Source organism: Homo sapiens, chromosome 5 (genome assembly GCF_000001405.40).
Source record: "Homo sapiens chromosome 5, GRCh38.p14 Primary Assembly".
NCBI classification, from domain to species: domain Eukaryota; kingdom Metazoa; phylum Chordata; class Mammalia; order Primates; family Hominidae; genus Homo; species Homo sapiens.
The window spans coordinates 138,646,353-138,665,184 of record NC_000005.10 but is presented as its reverse complement, the minus strand read 5'-3'; the positions used below and the strand labels follow the sequence as shown (position 1 = coordinate 138,665,184).

The 18,832-nt window shown below is 51.4% G+C and overlaps 1 annotated feature.

The window, feature by feature from the left end:
- Nucleotides 13,895–14,693: an enhancer, noted in NCBI's record as "H3K4me1 hESC enhancer chr5:137986181-137986979 (GRCh37/hg19 assembly coordinates)". NCBI's record gives its function as "activates a minimal SCP1, AML or CMV promoter by ChIP-STARR-seq in naive H9 embryonic stem cells {active_cell/tissue: H9 hESC(naive)}" and the evidence as "EXISTENCE:reporter gene assay evidence [ECO:0000049][PMID:30033119]".

Genomic DNA, 18,832 nt, shown 5'->3' with positions numbered 1-18,832 from the left:
AAGGCCTTCAGCTGAGGAGAGGCCCTGTGGCCTCAGCTGCCCCCAAGGATGGGTTCTTTGGACCCTGCTTTGCTTCTGTTCCTTCTGCTGCCATCTCAGCCGATTCCTTGTCTTGTTAATGAAAAGTGTGCAACTCTGTCCTCCATGGACTCTTCGTAGCAGGGAAGCCAGGGCTCTTTTATAACCTTCCCCTGAACTTCAGCAGTCTTCCACTTACCTCTTCCTTTGCCCAGAGGTAATCCTTTTTTCTGCCCCCACCCACTACCTCTTGCTCAGAGCATGGTGAGGAGCAGGGAGAAAGATTGGGAGCCTTCTCTGAGCCTTGCACTCCCGCCCCAGACCTTGGTTTTCCCAGGAAGCAGCAGGCAGGGGCAGGCCTGTTTCAGACTGAAGGCAAGACAGATGCTCATTAAGGAAGCTGAGAACAGAGGGAGGTGACTAATGGTGTCAGGAGCAGAGCCTAGCGGGAGCAGAGAATTGAGCAACGGGATCAGAATTGAAAGTGGGAGAAAACAGGAGAGGAGAGGAGTCAGCACCCAGAGCCAGCGCGGCTCTCACTCCCAAAGGATTCTCTTAGGAGAAAACACAACCAGCCTCCTCCTACAACCTGCTTCTCTCCCTCCTGAAAGCTGTGATCGTTGAAGACTACTCTGTCACCTTGTGTGGGGGAGGGGTGGCTAGGACATGGATACAGATAAAGGTAAGCTGTTCATCCATTCATTTCACAAACATTCACTAAGTGCCTGCTACATACAGGGCACCAGCAGTGAATCAGACAAGCAGAATCCCCGCCTTCATGGAGCTTATTACCTGATGTATTTAAAATGCAGACTTACGGCCGGGTGCAGTGGCTCACACCTGTAATCCCTGCACTTTGGGAGGCTGAGGTAGGCAGATCACCTGAGGTCAGGAGTTCCAGACCAGCCTGGCCAACAGGGCGAAACCCCGTCTCTACAAAAGTACAAAAATTAGCTGGGCGTGGTGGCGGGCAACTGTAATCCCAGCTACTCGGGAGGCTGAGGGACAAGAATCTCTTGAACTGGGGGGCGGGGAGGCTGCAGTGAGCTGAGATCACACCACTGCACTCCAGCCTAGGTGACAGAGCGAGACTCCGTCTCAAAAAATACAATACAATACAATACAATACAATACAATACAATACAATACAATACAATCCAGACGGCCTACTGTGGCCCACAAAACTGCACATGGTCTCTCCAACTGCACTCTATGCCCCTCTTTCTCTCACTCTGCTGAAGCCACAAAGGCCCTCCTGCTCTGCCCTGAGCATGCCAACTTCACTCCTACCTCAGTGCTCTTGCCTTGGCTGTTCCCTCTGCCTGGAACTCTTTTTCTCCCCGATGTTCTTGTGACTGCTTCCTTCCGGTCATGCAAGTCTCAGCTGAGAGATTTCCCAAGCAGAGAGAAAGGCACTCCAGGGAATATGGAAAGCTTGTTGGCAAGGCCTGGTGTGGGAAAGAGCTGAAGAACTAAAAGGAAACCGGGGTGGATGAGGCAGAGAGGGCAGAGGGAAGTCAGGGAGATTTAAGCCAACCTCCCCTGAAAGTTGACCCTGATCAAAGGCTGTGATCCAGGGAGCAGGTGACGACAGAAGAGAGCCCAAAGGAGAAGAGTTTTTGAGTTGGTCACAGCTTCAAGCAACCAGGGAGCATTCTGAAAAGCTTCATGAAGAATTCGCAACTGTCCACCCAGGGCAAGAAAGAGAGAAGCATTTATCCAGTGGTTCCTGCCCCCCCTTGCCAAGAGTTTCCCCCAAGGAATTAACTGCCCTGCACCACTGGGCTGCCCAAGCAGGAAAGCCAGGCAGTTTCCTGCCAACAGAGAAGCCCTGGGGCAAAGAGCAGGGGCGTAAATTCAGGGGCCTGCGGGTGTGGCACTGCCAGATCACGCATGAACAGGTTGAAGCCAGCGTGGAGCTGGTTGTGGTGCACAAGAGGTGCCTGGTACAGTAAGAGAGACACATCATGAGGATGGAGATGGCAGCTGGAGATAGGAGGGGTGAGTGGTATTTGCCTGAGAAGAGGGTGGAAGCAAGGCAGGCAAATATTTCTGACGTGGGTGGAAGAGGAAGTTGTGGTTTGAGGCATCAGATGGTGCCTCCCTTTTGTGGGGTGCCCAATCAGGGCACTGCCACCCCTACATGTCTCAAGGAGCCCATCTCTCACTTTGTGGGGCATTTACTAAGAGTCCCATAGCATCATTCCATGGGAAGGATGAGGAGGTAGGGTATTGATGTGTTTCTCAAGGTACCTGCATGGAACCCGTGCTGGATGAAAGGCTAGGGAAGAGTCTCACCGCATTTATCATGAGATCTAGCACATTCACTCAGTAATCAGTATCTACTGAGCATCTACTATGTGCCAGGCGCTGTCCTGGGTGCTGGAGGAGTGGCAGTGGGCCCTGCCATTACTGTGCATAACATCCCAGTGTGTGACAGGCAGACTTAGTACCCACTCCACACGTTTCTTTTTTCTTTTTCTTTGTTTTGAGACAGGGTTTCCCTCTGTCACCAGGCTGGAGTGCAGTGGCATGATCACGGCTCACTACCGCCTCAACCACCCAGGCTCCAGCGATTCCCCCCACCTCAGCCTCCCAAGTGGCTGGGACCATAAGCATGCGTCACCATGCCTGGCTAATTTTTAAATTATTTGTAGAGATGAGATCTTGCTATGTTGCCCAGGCTGGTCTTGAACTCCTGAGCTAAAGCAATCCTCCCACCCCAGCCTACCAAAGTGCTGCAATTACACCATGCCTGGCCTCCATGTGTGTTTCAATGTGTACACAGAACAGGCATGTGCTATCTCATGGAAGCCTACAACCCACTCCCTTCCTCCATAATCTCCCCCTGTCCCCACCCACACCCAGCTCCACACAGAGGGCCCAGGTCAGGGGAATAATTCCAACCCCTCACGCTGGGGGCCAGCTCATTCTGATTTCTCAAGAAGTTTAATTTTGCCAACAGCCAGAGGCAACGACAGCAGCTCTGGAAATTTGGCTGCTGGTTCTCTGGGCTGGGATAGGCAGCCCAGAAATAATTACCTCTTTGAGTGCTTTATTGGAATATGCACGTGCTTCCTGCTCTGTAGGGGCTCTTCTCTCCCAGGGCTGCTTCTTAACGTGAGGAATGAATTAGGCCTGTGAGGCTGCTGGAGCTGCTTCAAGGAGCGGGTGGAGGGTAGGTCCGCCTCAGGGAGGGACCTTATCCATCCCCTTTCCTGCAAAACCACATTATACGGACAGGTGTTTGGAGAGCCATCTGCAATCTGTCCGTCGCAAGCACCAAAGCCTCACCACGTTATGGTCCTAGAGTTACCCCCAAGGTCTTCCTCCAACCCTGCACTACGCCGGAAGCGCCTCGCGGAAGTGCCTCCCTGCGCTGGCTGAGGATGGGTGGCCCTGAGACTCGGGCTCTGAGCTCTGAGGGCTGCTTTGCTCTAGGCGTGCCCCCTCTATGCTGTTGCCCTGCGCCTCCTTGCTCGGGGCAAGGAAACAGAATGCTAATGATGATGAGTCCAGGTTTCCCTGGGTGTGGAACCAGCCAGATAGATGGATTCCAGCGCCACATCCTGGCTCCAGCCTCCAGACCTGCCACTGCGCCAAGATGGCCGCCTCCCCTGTGACTGTGGGCAGGAAATGAGGGGAGTGAACAGGCAGAAAGCGGAAGCGAAAGGACTGAAATGCAGGAACAGATTTCATTTTTTTCTGCCCCAAATCTGGTGGAGTGTTCCCAAGGTCACTGAGACTGTCTCCCTGACTCCAGCCCAGTCTGTGGCCTCCCAGCTTCCTAGGGAGCCCAACCCACACCCCCTGACTTGCTGGGCACCTGGACAGGGGGGATGAGGGACTTCAACTCCATGCAGTTATTTCAGCTCCATGATTCAGCTGAAATCCTCCGGGTTCAAGCTGTTGACTAGAATCTGTCTAAAATAATCACCCTCCTTTGATTTAGGCTATAATGTGGTGTTGAGGCACACGACCGAATGGCTGTTAGGGACATAAGGACCTCTAGGCCTGGGAACTCCTGTGGATGCTGCTTGAAGCTCCAGTGCTCCCGCAGGCCCACAGAAGTGTGGTGCTATGCCATTCCTCCCCAGTCTTGGCTTCTGGAAAACTACTCATTCTTCAAAATCCTGATCAAAGATCACCGGTTTGGCCAGATGTGGTGGTTCCTGCCTGTAATCCCAGCACTTCGGGAGGCAGAAGCGGGAGAATTGCTTGAGCCCAGGAGTTCCAGACCAGCCTGGGCAACAAAGTGAGACACTCTCTCTACAAAAATTTAAATATTAGTCAGGCACAGTGGCACATGCCTATAGTCTCGGCTACTTGGGAGAATCACTTGAGCCCAGGAGTCTGAGGCTGCAGTGAGCCATGATCTTGCCATTGCACTCCAGCCTGGGTGACAGAGCAAGACCCTGTCTGTAAAAAAACAGGATCACCTCTTCTTTGAAGCCTTCTCAGATCTGATCCCTTTTCAGGTCTAGCTAATTGCTCTCCTTTGAGTCAATACTTCATTCTGCAAATGGCCTGATCTTGAACAAGTTACTAATGATTATGGGACCTCTGTAAAATGGAGATGATAGATCCCTCACAGGGTTAGCAAGGAGTTAAAGGTAATGTATCTTTAAAACTTTGCATTGTACTTGGCACATGATCAGGGCTCAAAAAATGACGGTTTTTCGAGTGATAATGGCAGTGATTGCACTTTTTCAGTCATCCGTTTACATATCTGTCACCTCTAATAGATTGTGAACTCTTCAGGACAAGGACCACAGTTGAGTCACTGCTGTAGGCATGGCACCCTGGCTGGCTCAGAGTGAGCACCCAATACAGAGTAATGAATGTCAGTGTTGTCATTAAGACACTTACAATAATACCAACTGGCCTTTAACGAGTGTTTGCCATATGCTGGCCACTGTTCCAACTAGTTTACCAAGATTATGTCATTTCATCTTCACAGCAATCCTATAAAGCATTATCATCCCCAATTTACAGATGAATAAACTGCATCTTATCAAGGCTAGACAATTTGCCTGAGGTCTTACTGTAAGAAGTAGGAGATGGAGACAGTTCTTGAACCAGATCAGTCTGACTCCAGAGTTTTTGGTCACCCACCCAACTCCACTGCCCAGTGTGTTCTGTGCTATATTATAATCCTCAGGCCACCTGTCTTTCTTTTCTGCCTGTCAACAGGAATTGGGTTTGGTTTATTTCTGTAGCCACTAAACCCTGCACAGATCCTGGCACACAGTAGGCCACACAGTCAATATTTCTTGGATAAGTAGATGAGAAAAGGAGAAGGAGAAAGGAGATGGTCAAAGGCAATCAAGAAGATAGTAGGGCTGGGTGGGGCAAGAGATGTTCAGTTTTGGGGAGCCATGGGATGTGAGGCTTCAAGTGGGCAGGGAACGGTATGGCCTGGCCCTGGGGCTCACACACCTTTCTCAGGGCTCCTTGTCATTCCCACCATCCTGAGTGCAAGTGCATTTGGAAGGGCATTCCCTTGGGAACAGACTGAAGCTCAGAAGAATCCGGGCTGAAGGCTCAGGTGCCCCCCTTCTCAGGCAGCTCCTTCCCACTCCCAGGACCACTGGCCTGAGTTCGGGGAAACAAAAAGAGGTTTGCAGCATGTGAGCCAGCATTTGGGAGAAGAGCAAACAAGAGCAGACAGCAGCATCTCTGTGCCTTAGGAGACTAAACAGTGGGGGCCAGGGAGTCACCCCCCACTTCCTGAGCTCAACATTCAGGGCCTGACCTGACTCAGGAGGCTTGTAGCTTGGGGGAGCCAGCCTTGGTGGAGGTAAATCTCTCCTGTGAGTGGGTGGGTGCGTCTCTGGTTCCCTGTCCCATCAGCACCCTGGGGTGGGGCCTGCCCGCCAGCTGACCCCAGGACCTGGGTTGCAAGAACCCTTGCCAGCCACTCAGCCTGGCATCTTCAAGCCCAGCTGATGCTAGAGGGAGATGGAGTTTTTAATTTATATTTCTCGGCTTGATTCAGAGTCTGGGCAGCTATTTTGACTGCTTCACTGGAATATTCTTTAATCCTGAGTTTCTTTTTCTCATTATGGCTCGAAAATTAAAATCTCTCTGCCTTGGGCAAATGAAGGCTGAGTGAGAGAAGGCTGCTGCCACCACACATTTCTTATTTCAGTCAATTTGGAAACACCAAATGCTTTTTCTCAGGGCAGGTGACCGAGGGAGGAGGATGGGGCAGAGTTTAGCCTCCTCCTTGCCACGTCCTGGGCATTAATCCTCCCATTATTCCTGCAGCCCTCGCTGACCTGGCCTAATCACAAACTTAATAACACCCTGCACTTACAAAGCTCTTCTCCATGCATTATTTCCAGCAGAGCCTCACAGGAGCCCTACACGGAAGGAAAGCAGGTGTTCTCATCCTCACTTTTATTAACAAGGAACTGAGGGCCCCGCACATTTCATAGATGAGAGATAGAAGCCTCTGAGGTCCTTCGGGAGGTGCAGTCTGGTGGGGGTGGAGAAACTGTGACCCCTCCCCTTCAAGTCCCCTTGCTTCCCAGAAGACAGCGGAGCCAGCACCCCTTCTTCTCATTGCTCCCAGAACACTGAATGGGAGACTCACTCAGGAGTGGCATGATCTAGGGCAGTTCCTGTCCACCCTCTGAGCCTCAACTCCCTTATATTTATTTATTTTTATTTTATTTTATTTACTTTTTAATTTTTTTATTTTTATTTTTTTTGAGATGGAGTCACCCTCTGTCTCCGAGGCTGGAGTGCAATGGCGCAATCTTGGCTCACAGCAACCTCTGCCTCCTGAGTTCAAGTTATTCTCCTGCCTCAGCCTCCTGAGTAGCTGGGATTACAGGCATGTGCCACCACACCCGGCTAATTTTTGTATTTTTAGTAGAGACAGGGTTTCACCATGTTGTCCAGGCTGGTCTCGAACTCCTGACCTCAGGTGATCTGCCTGCCTCGGCCTCCCAAATTGCTGGGATTACAGGCTTGAGCCACCTCGCCTGGCCTATTTTCTTTCTTTTTTTTTTTTTTTTTTTGAGATGGAGTCTTGCTCTGTCTTCCAGGCCAGAGTGCAAGGGTGCAATCTTGGCTCACTGTAACCTCTGCCTCCCAAGTTCAAGCGATTCTCCTGCCTCGGCCTCCCAAGTAGCTGGGATTACAGGCGTGCACCACCATGCCCACCTAATTTTTGTATTTTTGGTGGAGACGGGGTTTCACTATGTTGGCCAGGCTGGTCTCAAACTCCTGACCTCAGGTGATCCATCTGCCTCGGCCTCCCAAAGTGCTGGGATTGCAGCTGTAAGCCATTGTGCCTGGCCAACTCCCATATATTTAAAAGATGGGTTGCCCTAAATCATGCCTAATGCCACCTTGCCTCGCTAGTGCCCAGACCCCAGGGAAGGGAGGGTGGCTGTTCTCTGCTGCGTTGCTTCATCTCCAGGTTTCCACTCTCTGTCCCTGTGTGGCTGCTCCTCTTCCTGGGCCAGCACATCCAGTTGTCTTTGCCCTGCTCTTCTTTCTCTTTGCAGATCTCTCCCTCACTTGCTGACAGAGTCTCTGAGGGATATCTGGTCTGTAGAGTCTTCCGGTGTAGTTCCAGAACATGCCCTTGGCCATGGGCCTGGAAACGGTGTCTGGTGGGAAGTGGCTCTGGGACGGCCTGAAAGCCATAGCTGCACACTGTTTCTACCAAGCTCATCAGGAGGTGCCTGGGAGGCTTCCAAGGTCTGAAACAGGTCCCCTTCCCTGAGGGACACAGGTTTAGAAATGAAGGCTGCCTCTGTCTCAAGCATTAGAAATTGTGACTTCCCTGTGGGTAAATAACAGCATCAGCCTTCTTAGGGACACAGGTCCTGGCGGAAACGGAGCTCTTGTTCCACCTTTGCCCCACTCCAAGCTTCCTGGAGGACCCGGTAGTTTTCCACATTCTTTTACTCCCATTTGTGGGGCTCTGGAGCCTGGCCAGTTGTCTCCTGATGGGAACCAGAACCCAAGGCACCACAGGCCCCTAAACCTCTCCAACAACTGCGTGTGGTTGTTCCTAGTGCGAAATGCCAGCCACATTCACCTTCCCCTCCTCCTCCCTGGAGAGTGGGAACTGAGGGCCTGACCACTATTTTTTTCACCACCTCAGCCCCAGGGACCACAGGAGGAACTCCATATCTAACCTGAGCCAGCAGGAGGGACAGCATAGGGGCCTCCTAAGGATGGTGCAGGTGAGAGCAAGAGCTGAGGTAGGGAGGAGTGGATGAATACTTCCGGGAGATAAAAGATTTGAATTGCACCTCAAAACCCAAAAGGAGGATGTATTGTTGAGGCAGGGAAGATAAAAATAAGCAAAGTGGAAAGCCGAGGATTTGAATTTAGACAGATCTGGGTTCACATTTCAGCTCCATCTCAAGCTGTGAAATCTTAGGCAACTTCTGGAGTCCTTGGTTTCCTCCTCCACGCTCCACAATGGTGATTATTCCATAATGTTGTTGCAGCATTCAATGAAATAATGTACATAAGAAACTTACCAGCCAGGTGTTGTGGCTCGTGCCTGTAATCCCAACACTTCGGAAGGCTGAGGTGGGAGAATCACTTGAGGCTAGGAGTTCAAGACCAGCGTGGGAACATTGCAAGACCTTGCCTCCACTAAAAATTTAAAAATCAGCTGTGTGCCGTATCAAATACCTTTGGTCCCAGCTACTCGGTAGGCTGAGGTGGGAGTTTGAGGTTGCAGTGAGCTATGATCTCACCATTGCACTCCAGCCTGGCCAACAAGTGAGACTTTGTCTCAATAGGAAGAAAGAGACAGAGAAAGAAACTTACCAAGTTTTCTGGCATATATTGGGCACCCAGTAAATGGTTGCTATTATTGTTATCACTATGTTGGTGATGGGGAGTCAAGAAGAGGGAATTGAAGAGCAGTCTTTTGTTTGTAGAGACAGGCAACCACAGTGAGTAGGAGAAGAAATCCCCAGACAGGGGTCTCTAACAGAAGCCATCTGTGATCTCATGAGGGCCTAGTCTTGCCACTCTGGTGCTGTCTTGTTGACTCAGATATAGGCTTTGATTTCCTTGGAGCAGCTCAGTTTACATCAGGAATAAGCAGCATCTTGGGAAATTCGAGTCACGGAGACTGGGCAGAGTCGCTCTCACTGTCAGATAAAGGGGCCCCTGTTCTGATTCCCATCAGTGACAAGGGATGACGCTCAGGCTGCCACTGAGCATGAGGGCCAGGCCAGAAGGAACAATGGTTGGGCAGGTGCCAAGGTCTTGGGAAAAAACTGAGGTCCTGAGAGAGAAACCAGAGCTGCCCCAGTGGGTACTGCCTTCCCTTTTGTGCCTCTCACTTTTTGCTCCCAGCCCCAATTTCTTGTCTTTTCTTTTTTTGTTTTTTATAGAGATGGGGTCTCACTATGTTGCCCAGGCTGGTCTTGAATTCCTGGCCTCAAGTAATCCTCCCACCTTGGCCTCCTAAAGTGCTGGGATTACAGACGTGAGCCACCACAACTGCTTCCCCCACCGATGTCTAAACCCTCCAACCCCTATCTCTGACAAGGAGGGTGGGACCAAGCTGAGATGTGTCAGGGTAGGTGGTGATGATACCATAGACACTGGGAGTCCTCTCCCAGAGGTGCTGGTTACAGTATTGGACTTCCTTCTACATCACTAGACCTGGGGGACCCATAAAAGATCAGAGGGCCAGGAAAATGGAGTAGCAATCCTAAAATCCTGAGAAGTGAGAATTCACAGCTGTCAGCTTTACCTCACCCTGCTTCTTTTCTTCTTCTTCTTCTTCTTTCTTTTCCCCCCCAAGACAGTCTCACTCTGTCACACAGGCTGGAGTGCAGTGGCGCGATCTTGGCTCACTGCAGCCTCTGCCTCCCGGGTACAAGCAATTCTCCTGCTTCAGTCTCCTGAGTAGCTGGGATTACAGGTGCCCGCCACCACCCCCAGCTAATTTTTGTATTTTTAGTAGAGATGGGGTTTCTCCATGTTGGCCAGGCTGGTCTCAAACCCCTGACCTCGTGATCCACCCACCTCGGCCTCCCAAAGTGCTGGGATTATAGGCGTAAGCCACCACACCCGGCTCTTTTCTTCAACCCCAGTTCCCTCTTTCTTCTTTCTCTTCTCACTCTCTCTTTTCCATTCTCTTTTTTCTGCCTCTTCCTCAGACTGGTTTTGCAACTTTTCAACTTCTGTTCCCAAACCCCCCTCACATACAGAAGAGTCTCTCTTTCTCTTGTCTCTCATTTATGTCTCTGATTGCCTTACCCAGAGAAGGGACCCCTGCCTTCTCTGATAGAGGCTTAAAAGAGAGCAAAGCCCCAGGGCTGGGGTAGCTCAGGCCCAGGGGACCATGGGGGTGAGGCCTAGGCCACATGGAGATGGAAGCATGAGCCGGCTCATGACTGCATAAAGACTGTGGTATTGAGTGGGCTCTGGTGACTCACCACTCAGCGGAGGGGTCTGGGAGAGTGATGTCACTGTTGACACTAGAACTGCCCCATCCCTGCCCTGAGACCTTTTCTTGCCTTGCTGACTTCTTTTTGCCTCCCTTTATAGGGCAGGGCTAAGGAAGCAAGTTTCACCTTTGATGACATTTAGAACCACAATGTGGTTTTTTTAAACCGAGAATTTCCTTCCCACATCCTCACCTCCTCCTCCTCTGCCTGTCTTGTGGCGGTGGGGGGGGGGGTGTACTCATGTGCACGTGGGCATTCTCTGTCTCACACATGTGTGCACATTTCTTTTATGTATGTACAGCTCACGTGCATGCACACACACACACTCACTCACACTCACACATACTCCCACCTGCCATCTGTTTCCGTCAGTCGGGGGATCACATAAACTGGGCCTCCAAACAGTGCAGGGGGACTGGAAGGGGCTGATTCTCCCAGAGGGGGACCTGAGGAAGAATCCCTGTGTGCTCTTGTCTGCTGGCACCTCGATGCCATGTGCCTCTTCACTTCAGAGGCTGCACCCTTGAGCCCCAGTAAGCCCAGAATTTGGGTAGGAATGTGTGTCCTTGAGAAGGTGAGCTTCCAATTTCATAATCAGAGGAAAACTGGGGTGGAATTGGGTTGTGGGTTGTGGGTAGGGACAGTGGGGATATATGGAGGAAGACATAGACTAGGAGGGCCAGAGACTAGAAACTGACTTCAAGACAAATGTCATCACTGTCCCTTCTCCCACCCTCCCCCAAATTAGATGTATATTTCTTTCCCTCTACATTTTGAGAAGAGAGAAAGTTGCATCTCACTTGGTAACCAAGTCCCAGGAATCTAGCTTAAGCCGGGGCAGAGGAAGAGTTCCCAACATGAGACTGAATATTAATGCTATGTAAATCACATGCAAATGTGTTGAAAGCAAAAATAAATAGGTGGTGGGTCTTGAAAAAGGAACAATTAGACTGAGGTGAAGGCAGTGGAGGAGCCACAGCCTGGTAACAGGGTGACTTCTGGAGTCTGGGTGCAGGCTGTGCGCTCCTGCCCTCTAGAGATCCTGGCCTGCCTGTGGTTGGTAAAAAACGGTTTGTTTTGGCCATAAGCAACTAACCAACAAGTCCTTGTCAAATGCATACCTGGCCTGGTGGCAGAGGTGGATTTTCTGTGAAGCTAATGAAGCTTGGGTGGCAGTGCTCCTCATTTGCACAGGCCCCTTCGAAACCCTGCACTTAATTTCATATTCATCATCTTGTATTTTTTTTCTTAAAGAGGGCCCCCCAAATTGTATAAGCTTTGGGCTCCACAAAACCTGGGTTCACCTCTGCAGTGAAGGGGATAATTGTGTAAAATGTTGACAAGCTCTCTGTTCTTGGTTTAATTAGCAGCCTCCTTTGAAATAATCTCTGTCAGAGATGTGTCTGTGTGCACAGCTTTATGCGCCCCTTTTCCTAGGTGGAGGGAGACCCCATGGCTGCTCCTGTTTCCAAGACACCACGGTTTTCTGCCTTGAGACTGGGGCAAGAGAAGGGTGAAGGAAACTGCTTTGTTTCTAAAGGGAATGTGGCGGAGAACCCCAAGGAACAAGTATCTGATAATAAATAATAATAATCTTACCTTTGTAAAGCCTTTAAGAGTTTCCAAAGGGAATGTGTCATTTGATCTTCACAATAACCCTGAAGCAGGAAGGAAAGGTATTATGGAGATGTGTTACAGACAAGTAAACTGAGGCTCAGAGAAGTCTAATTACAATAATAATAGCTCAAAAGCACAAAGCTATTGTATCAGCAAGAACAATCACATATGTTCACTCATTTAATCTGTACAACAATTCTATGAGGTGGGTACAATTATTATCCTCATTTTAGAAACAGGGAAACTGCACAGAGAGGTTAGCCAAACTAAAGAGTAGCCCAGCCAAGATCCGAACTCAAGCAAGCAGTCTGGCGGCTGAGTCCTCGCTCTCAATCAGTACGCCACTCCAAAACCTTGTGCACCGTCATGGGCTAGACTTCAAGCCCTGACCTGTCTGACCCGTTTCTCATCACCACTAAGCACTAATATGTCCCTCTGAACCAGGAACTCAAAGCCTAGATGGAGGGGCAGGAGATTGGTGGGAAGTCCAGGTGACTGACCGTAAGGATCAGGGTCTAGTCATGGAAATGGCCCCTCAGGACAGATGAGTACCAGGGTTCCTCCTGGACTGAAAGCACAGGGCGGGAGGTGAGCCAGCAGGCACCAGCCCGCCAAGAGCCCGGGTAGACTTCTTAAAGAAGCTGGAACGTGTTGGTTCCTTTCAGGAACCAACATCTGACCACCTCTCCCCACTCCTTACTTACAGGCAAGTAAACTGAGGCTCAGAGATGTCTAATTACAGTAATAATAGCTTACAGTCAAGCATGATGGCTCACGCCTGTAATCCCAGCACTTTGGGAGGCTGAGACAGGTGGATCACTTGAGGACAGGTGTTTGAGACCAGCCTGACCAACATAGCTAAACCCCGTCTCTACTAAAAATACAACAATTAGCCGGGTGTTGTGGCGCACGTCTGTAGTCCCAGCGCCTCAGGAGGCTGAGGCAGAAGAATTGCTTGAACCCAGAAGGCAGAGGTTGCAGTGAGCTGAGATCGTGCCACTGCACTCCAGCCTGGGCTACAGAGCGAGACTCTGTCTCAAAAATATATAATAATAATAATAATAATAATAATAGCTCACGAGCACAAAGCTATTGTATCAGCAGGGACAATCCCCACTTCCCAGACAAATGAGATCAAGATTATGGTCAGAGGTGTGTTTAGGGAGATTACCATGGCAACGAGGTAAAGGATGATGGACTAAGAGTAGGGGCACGCTAGAGGGAGACTGGTTAGGAGATGGTGGCAGAAATCCAGGTGAGAAGTGATGAGGCCCCACTCGAACCAAGGTGGTGGCTGTGTGGCTGTGGTGTAAAGAAGAGAGATGCTACAGGGGAGAATGAATGAAGGAAGGACAGGGATGTCTTTTTCAAACAACACAGCGCACATACAGGCCCCAGTGGAAGAAGCGGGGTAGAGAGTGGGAAGTGCTGGCGGCTGCGGGGGCAATAAACAATGAGGCCTGCAGGATGAGCAGCCCCTGGAAGCTGCCAGAGTTGCTCACATCCCATCTTCCTGCTCTCCCCCAGTCAGTCAGGCTGGCCCTGCCACTGGGCTCTGTGTGTGTGGGGGTGGGGGCAGGCGGTGGTGCTGGGGCTGGGGAGAAGGGAGAAGTGTCAGCCCTGGCCTCTGGGGCCACATACAGGGAGGTGAGCTATGGGGAGCATCACGGAAGCGTGATTTAGAGTCTCATTCCCACTGCCCTTCACCGTGCTGCAAGGACAGTTCAACGTAATATATAATTACCGCCGCCCCACAAGGCTGCACTGTACACAGAGCTCCCACCTTCCTCCCGCTCCCTCCTGCCTGCCTTCAGACTATAAATCAGTTTTCAATCCTGAATGCTACCTGTAAATGTTCGAGCTCAGGATCCTCGCCTCATATTCCTATGTCCCTGGGGGGTGGTTCAGGATGTGAGTGGCTTCCCCCAGTCCTGATTCTGACATCCCAGCCCCTGATTGATGGTGAGAGGAGCAGCAGGGAAGCTGGAAATGGCTCTAGGGTCTCTGGAGCCCTGGCCTGGGGAGAGGGGTGGGCAGCTCTGGATCTGCCTGACTCAGCCAAGCCTGAACTGGATGCTCCCCAGTGTACAGAACTGTGGACATGCTCCGGACCAATTGGTGGGAAGGCATTGAAACTGACCCCTCCCCGAAAATGGCAACTTCTTTCCAGCCTTGTCAGATGTGCCAGAGCAGGCAGGTGGGCACGTTCACTGGAGTGTCCAAAAGACGGCAGCCTCGCCATAGGCTGATCTGGGGATGAAGAGGCACAGCCATGCCTTTCCCCTGAGCTGGGATGGGAAATCCCATGATGCACCTTTGAGGTGATAAAAGGACAAATCAAGAAAGAAATTCTTGGCCAGGCATTGTGGCTCATGCCTGTAATCCCAGCACTTTGGGAGACCGAGGCAGGCGGATCACCTGGTGAAACCCTGTCTCTACTAAAAATACAAAAATTATCGAGGCATGGTGCCATATGCCTGTAATCCCAGCTACTTGGGAGGCTGAGGCAGGAGAATCTCCTAAAACCCAGAGGAGGAGGTTGCAGTGAGCCGAGATTGTGCCACTGCATTCCAGCCTGAGTGACAGATCAAAACTCTGTCTCAAAAAAAAAAAAAAAAACCACACACACACACACACACACACAGAAAGAAAGAAATTTTTCTTTCTTCCTTTTTTTTTTTTTCTTTTTTAGGAGACAGAGTTGCCCCGGCTGGAGTGCAGTCGTGCGAAGCTGGCTCCCTGAAGCCTCAACTGCAGGTGTGTTATGTGTCCACCATTTACTGATCACCCCATCTGAAGACGGTCCCCCGGCCCTGACCTATTACTTTCTATCTTAGCGCCCTGTTTGTTATGGTACTAGGTATAATTCATATTATTCCATATTGTCTTGTGTCTTCATTTTTTGTGGGTTTTCACTCCTGGAGTGGAAGCTCTGTGAAGGCAGGGGCCACATTGCCTGGTCAACACTGTATTCCAGTTACTTAGCATCAAGCTTCACACATCATGGTGTTAGTTAAATACTCTTTGAATGAACTGAATGCATGGAGCCGGGGTGGGGTGGCTGCCAAAGAGAAGGTCTTCAAAGCTGAGGCTGACTCTGCCTGCTCCCCTGTGGCAGCCCCATCTGCAGACAGCAGCTGGGCAGATTCCTCCTTCCCTAGGAGACCAGGCTTATGACCCCGGGGGAATTGAGAGGCCTCTCCAGACCTTGGCCTCCTTCCTCTCCCTTGGGAAAACTCCAGTTGTGACCCCTCCTAGCTGTCCCCGGAGCTGCCTTCTGAGGACCAGGGGTTAATGGTCAGTGTTTATCACCTCCCACTCCCTGACAAGATCCCCAGGTCACTGGAAAGCTTGGCCCAGCCCAAACTGATACCTTGCATGGGCCAGGGACTCAATCTGGGGACAGCAAAGAGGGACTGAGGAGGAAGCTCCTCCACGCATTATAATATCCATGAAGTGAATGCAAATGAACTGAAAGCACCTTTTGAATAAGCAGCTTTTACTGAGGGAGCTGCTCTAATCCCTAAATGGCTTTGCTGACAGGGAGGAGCTTCCCAGTGGTGGAAGGGGTGGGAAATGGGGACACACTGTCAGGAACCGGCTCTGCAGCGCCCTTGTCCCTGCACTTTTAGATTCCGGACACGCTTCTTGTGGCTAATGGAACTCGGAGATCTCTAACCTTGGCCTCCATATTCCACTCCCTGCCCCCGCCCCCAGAGTCTGCGGAGCCCAGCTTCTGTGTTTCCAGGAGGCTGAGGCTGCTGGGTGCTGGGTCTCAGTGTCGAGTGATTCTCTGGGACTGGAAGCAGCTGAGTGTGCCTCCAGTGATGTAGCCCTGTGGGCTCTCTGGTGACCATGTGAGACATCCCTGGGCCTGTGTGTAAAGGTGTGTGGCCGTGTGCACCAGTGGGTTTGTGTCCATTTACACACCTCCTGGAAACAAGTGTCATTGTGTTTGTGCCTCTGTCTGTCCCCACCCCCACATCTCCATCCATCTGTATTCCTCCCCAGGTTAGCGGGGGCTGGCCTCAGCTGGGGAATCATGCTTTTTCAAGGACTAATGACTTTTATCAGAATGATAATGAACTGATGACACAGGGAGGCCCTGGGCTCTGGAGAGAAGCCAGAGAAGGAGCAGTTGGGGACAGAGAGGAGGCTGGTAGGGTTGGGAGGCTAGAGGACTATGCCTCCCAGAAAGGCCAGCCAGCTCCATTCCTCTTTCAGTGGGGGAAGGAGACAGGGACAGAGGAAACCCAGGGGATGTTGGAAACACATTCTCCATTTCCCTTCCCTGTCCCGCCTGCCTCTTCCTGAACCTTCCATTCCCTGCTTTGCTATTCTTCTCGCCCTCCCAGAGGACTCCCCTTGACTACGGGGCTGTGAGGCTAAAGCTGGCTATTCCCCTCTCCCAGTCTCCTTCACTCTAGCCCTTACTCAAAGCCAGGTCCTGCCCAGAGATGGAGAGGGGAGCTGCTCCTAGAATTCTGAGTGGGCAGAGACACATAGGTGGCCTGAGCAGGTCTTAGAGGACCAGAAACTTGAAAGCTGCCCCTTGGGCATGAAGCTTGTCAAGGCTAATTGGCCTCAATATTCTTTCATAATGAGTGTAGGGCCAGGTGAGTTGTCAGTGGGGAAAGGAGAGGAGAATTCAGAAGCTCACAGAACATCCACACCAGGGACTTGGGAGATCACAAAACCAGGAACTGTTCTCATTGGTCAGAGAAGATAAGTGATACCAATCTCCCAAAGGTTTCGGAGAGATTTCAGGCAGAGTCTGCAGCATGCAGGGGCTCCCTCACTGGAAAAGCTCCTTCACCTGCTGCAGAGAGGCAGCCACGTCTCCCCAAGCCGGAGCACTCTGGCCTCTAGCACAGCCTGGCATGCAGTGAATACTCAATAAACATCAGCTGTTGTGGATATTAGCATAATCTTCTGGTGGAAAGTCTCTGAGGGTGGTCCCTGCAGAGAGGGGTAAGCTTCTAGGACCCTGGGATTCACAAGGAACGGGGACAGTGCAAGGCAGGCATGGTACCAAGAGACCCAGCTTAAAGACCAAGGAGGCAGGCATGCCGGCCCCCACTGTGGCCTCTCCTTCTCCTGCCCCAGTCTTTCAGGGTCATCCTCCCTCTGGGGCCTGCAGGGAGTCCTCCCTCTGTCCCAGGCAGGCCCAGTGACCTTTTGCTCAAGTCTGCAAATATATTCTTGTCTAGTCTTGGAAATGAAATTGTGCTCAACATTTGTATAGGGCTTTTCCATTGCCCAGCCCTTTACAGACATTAGCTAATTAAATGGAGGAGGGATAGAGAGGAGCTGGCCTCTGCAGTCAGGGACCCCAGGCCCTTCTTACCTGGGCCCCAGTCTCACTCCTCCCTTCTTTCCTGCAAGATTGGCCTTACTCTAAAGAGAAGGCAACTCCTGAGGAATTGGCCACTGAGTCAGAAAGCAAGGGAAGCTGGGAACTTGGTAATCTGTGGAATGTGTAAGGGTCTTCCTGAGGTCATCCTGTCCCACAGCCACACCCAACAACTGGCTTAGTCTGAAAGTGCAGTTCTGTGTCTGCCATGAGTGGGTCAAACACACAGGGCACACAGCTGTGTGGCCTGTTCTAGGGATGGGGCCAACCTCTCACCCCATCTGGGAGGCACAATTGTGGACAGCTGCTCCCAGCCTGGAGCGAAGCATGGAAGCCTCTACCTGCCGCGGTCTTCCTGACCAGGAGGATCGGAGGGGAGCCATCCAGTGTCAGCAGAACAGCTTGCCCTGCCCTCCCCTCCATCTCCACCCTCCTAGAACTGCCCTCCAGGGCACAGCAAGTCAACTCTCACCTGGGGAGGGTGGGGGCGGATTGGGGGGCAGGGAGAGATACCAGTTACGGAAACTGACATAGACATAGGGAAGAAATAGGCCATATTTCGAACTGAGACTGTGGGAGAAAGGAAAGGAAGAAGACTAGAAGGAGAGATGGAGGAAAAAAACATCTTCACGGGGTGCCCGTAGTGTCAAAGATTGAGGATTTCTTCGCGGAGCCGCAGGCAGCCCCATGTTGGATTCCTCTAGCCTGAGAGAGCTGCCCCTCCCACCCCACTGCCTGTTATCCCTCATACCCACGAGGGACGGCATCACAGGTGCCCACTTCACAGGCATGGGCTTCTTCACGGGGCAGGCGGTGCACGTTTTCCTCCCTGATCCCGTCAGAGACTGGAAAGTGGAGACTCGCTCTCCTTCCACAGCCTGGCTGCACTCGGCTCACCCTGATCCCATCAGTCTGCCTGGAGCCGATTGGAGAATCAGCAATTCTGGAGACCCCGCCAGGTCCAGCAGAGGAGGACCTGACCTCCCCGCATCATAATTATCTGTCTCATAAAAAACAGGCATTGAACTTCATAAAACCAATTAGGGCTACAGGGCCAGGTCATGGTAGCAAGTAGGAATTTAGCTCTGGTGACAGTGGCAGTCAACTCCAAGGACAGAGCAGTATGTGACAGCTCCCTCCTCTCAGGCCCAGCCCTATAGGCCACCCAAACAAAGCTCCTGCAGATGCAACAGAAGAGGTTGAGGTCAGACCCAAGGAAGGACTGGCAGGGGCAGGAGCACTGGAGTGGTTTCTTCCCTTTGTGACAAGCAGCCCAACAGAGCCTGAGTCCTCCCTCCACAGCCTTCTCTGGTTCCAGAAAACCTCAAGAGCTTCCCATCATGTTACCAAGGCAACTGTAGCCCTGCAAGATTCACAGTGAGGATGGAGAGAGAGCGGG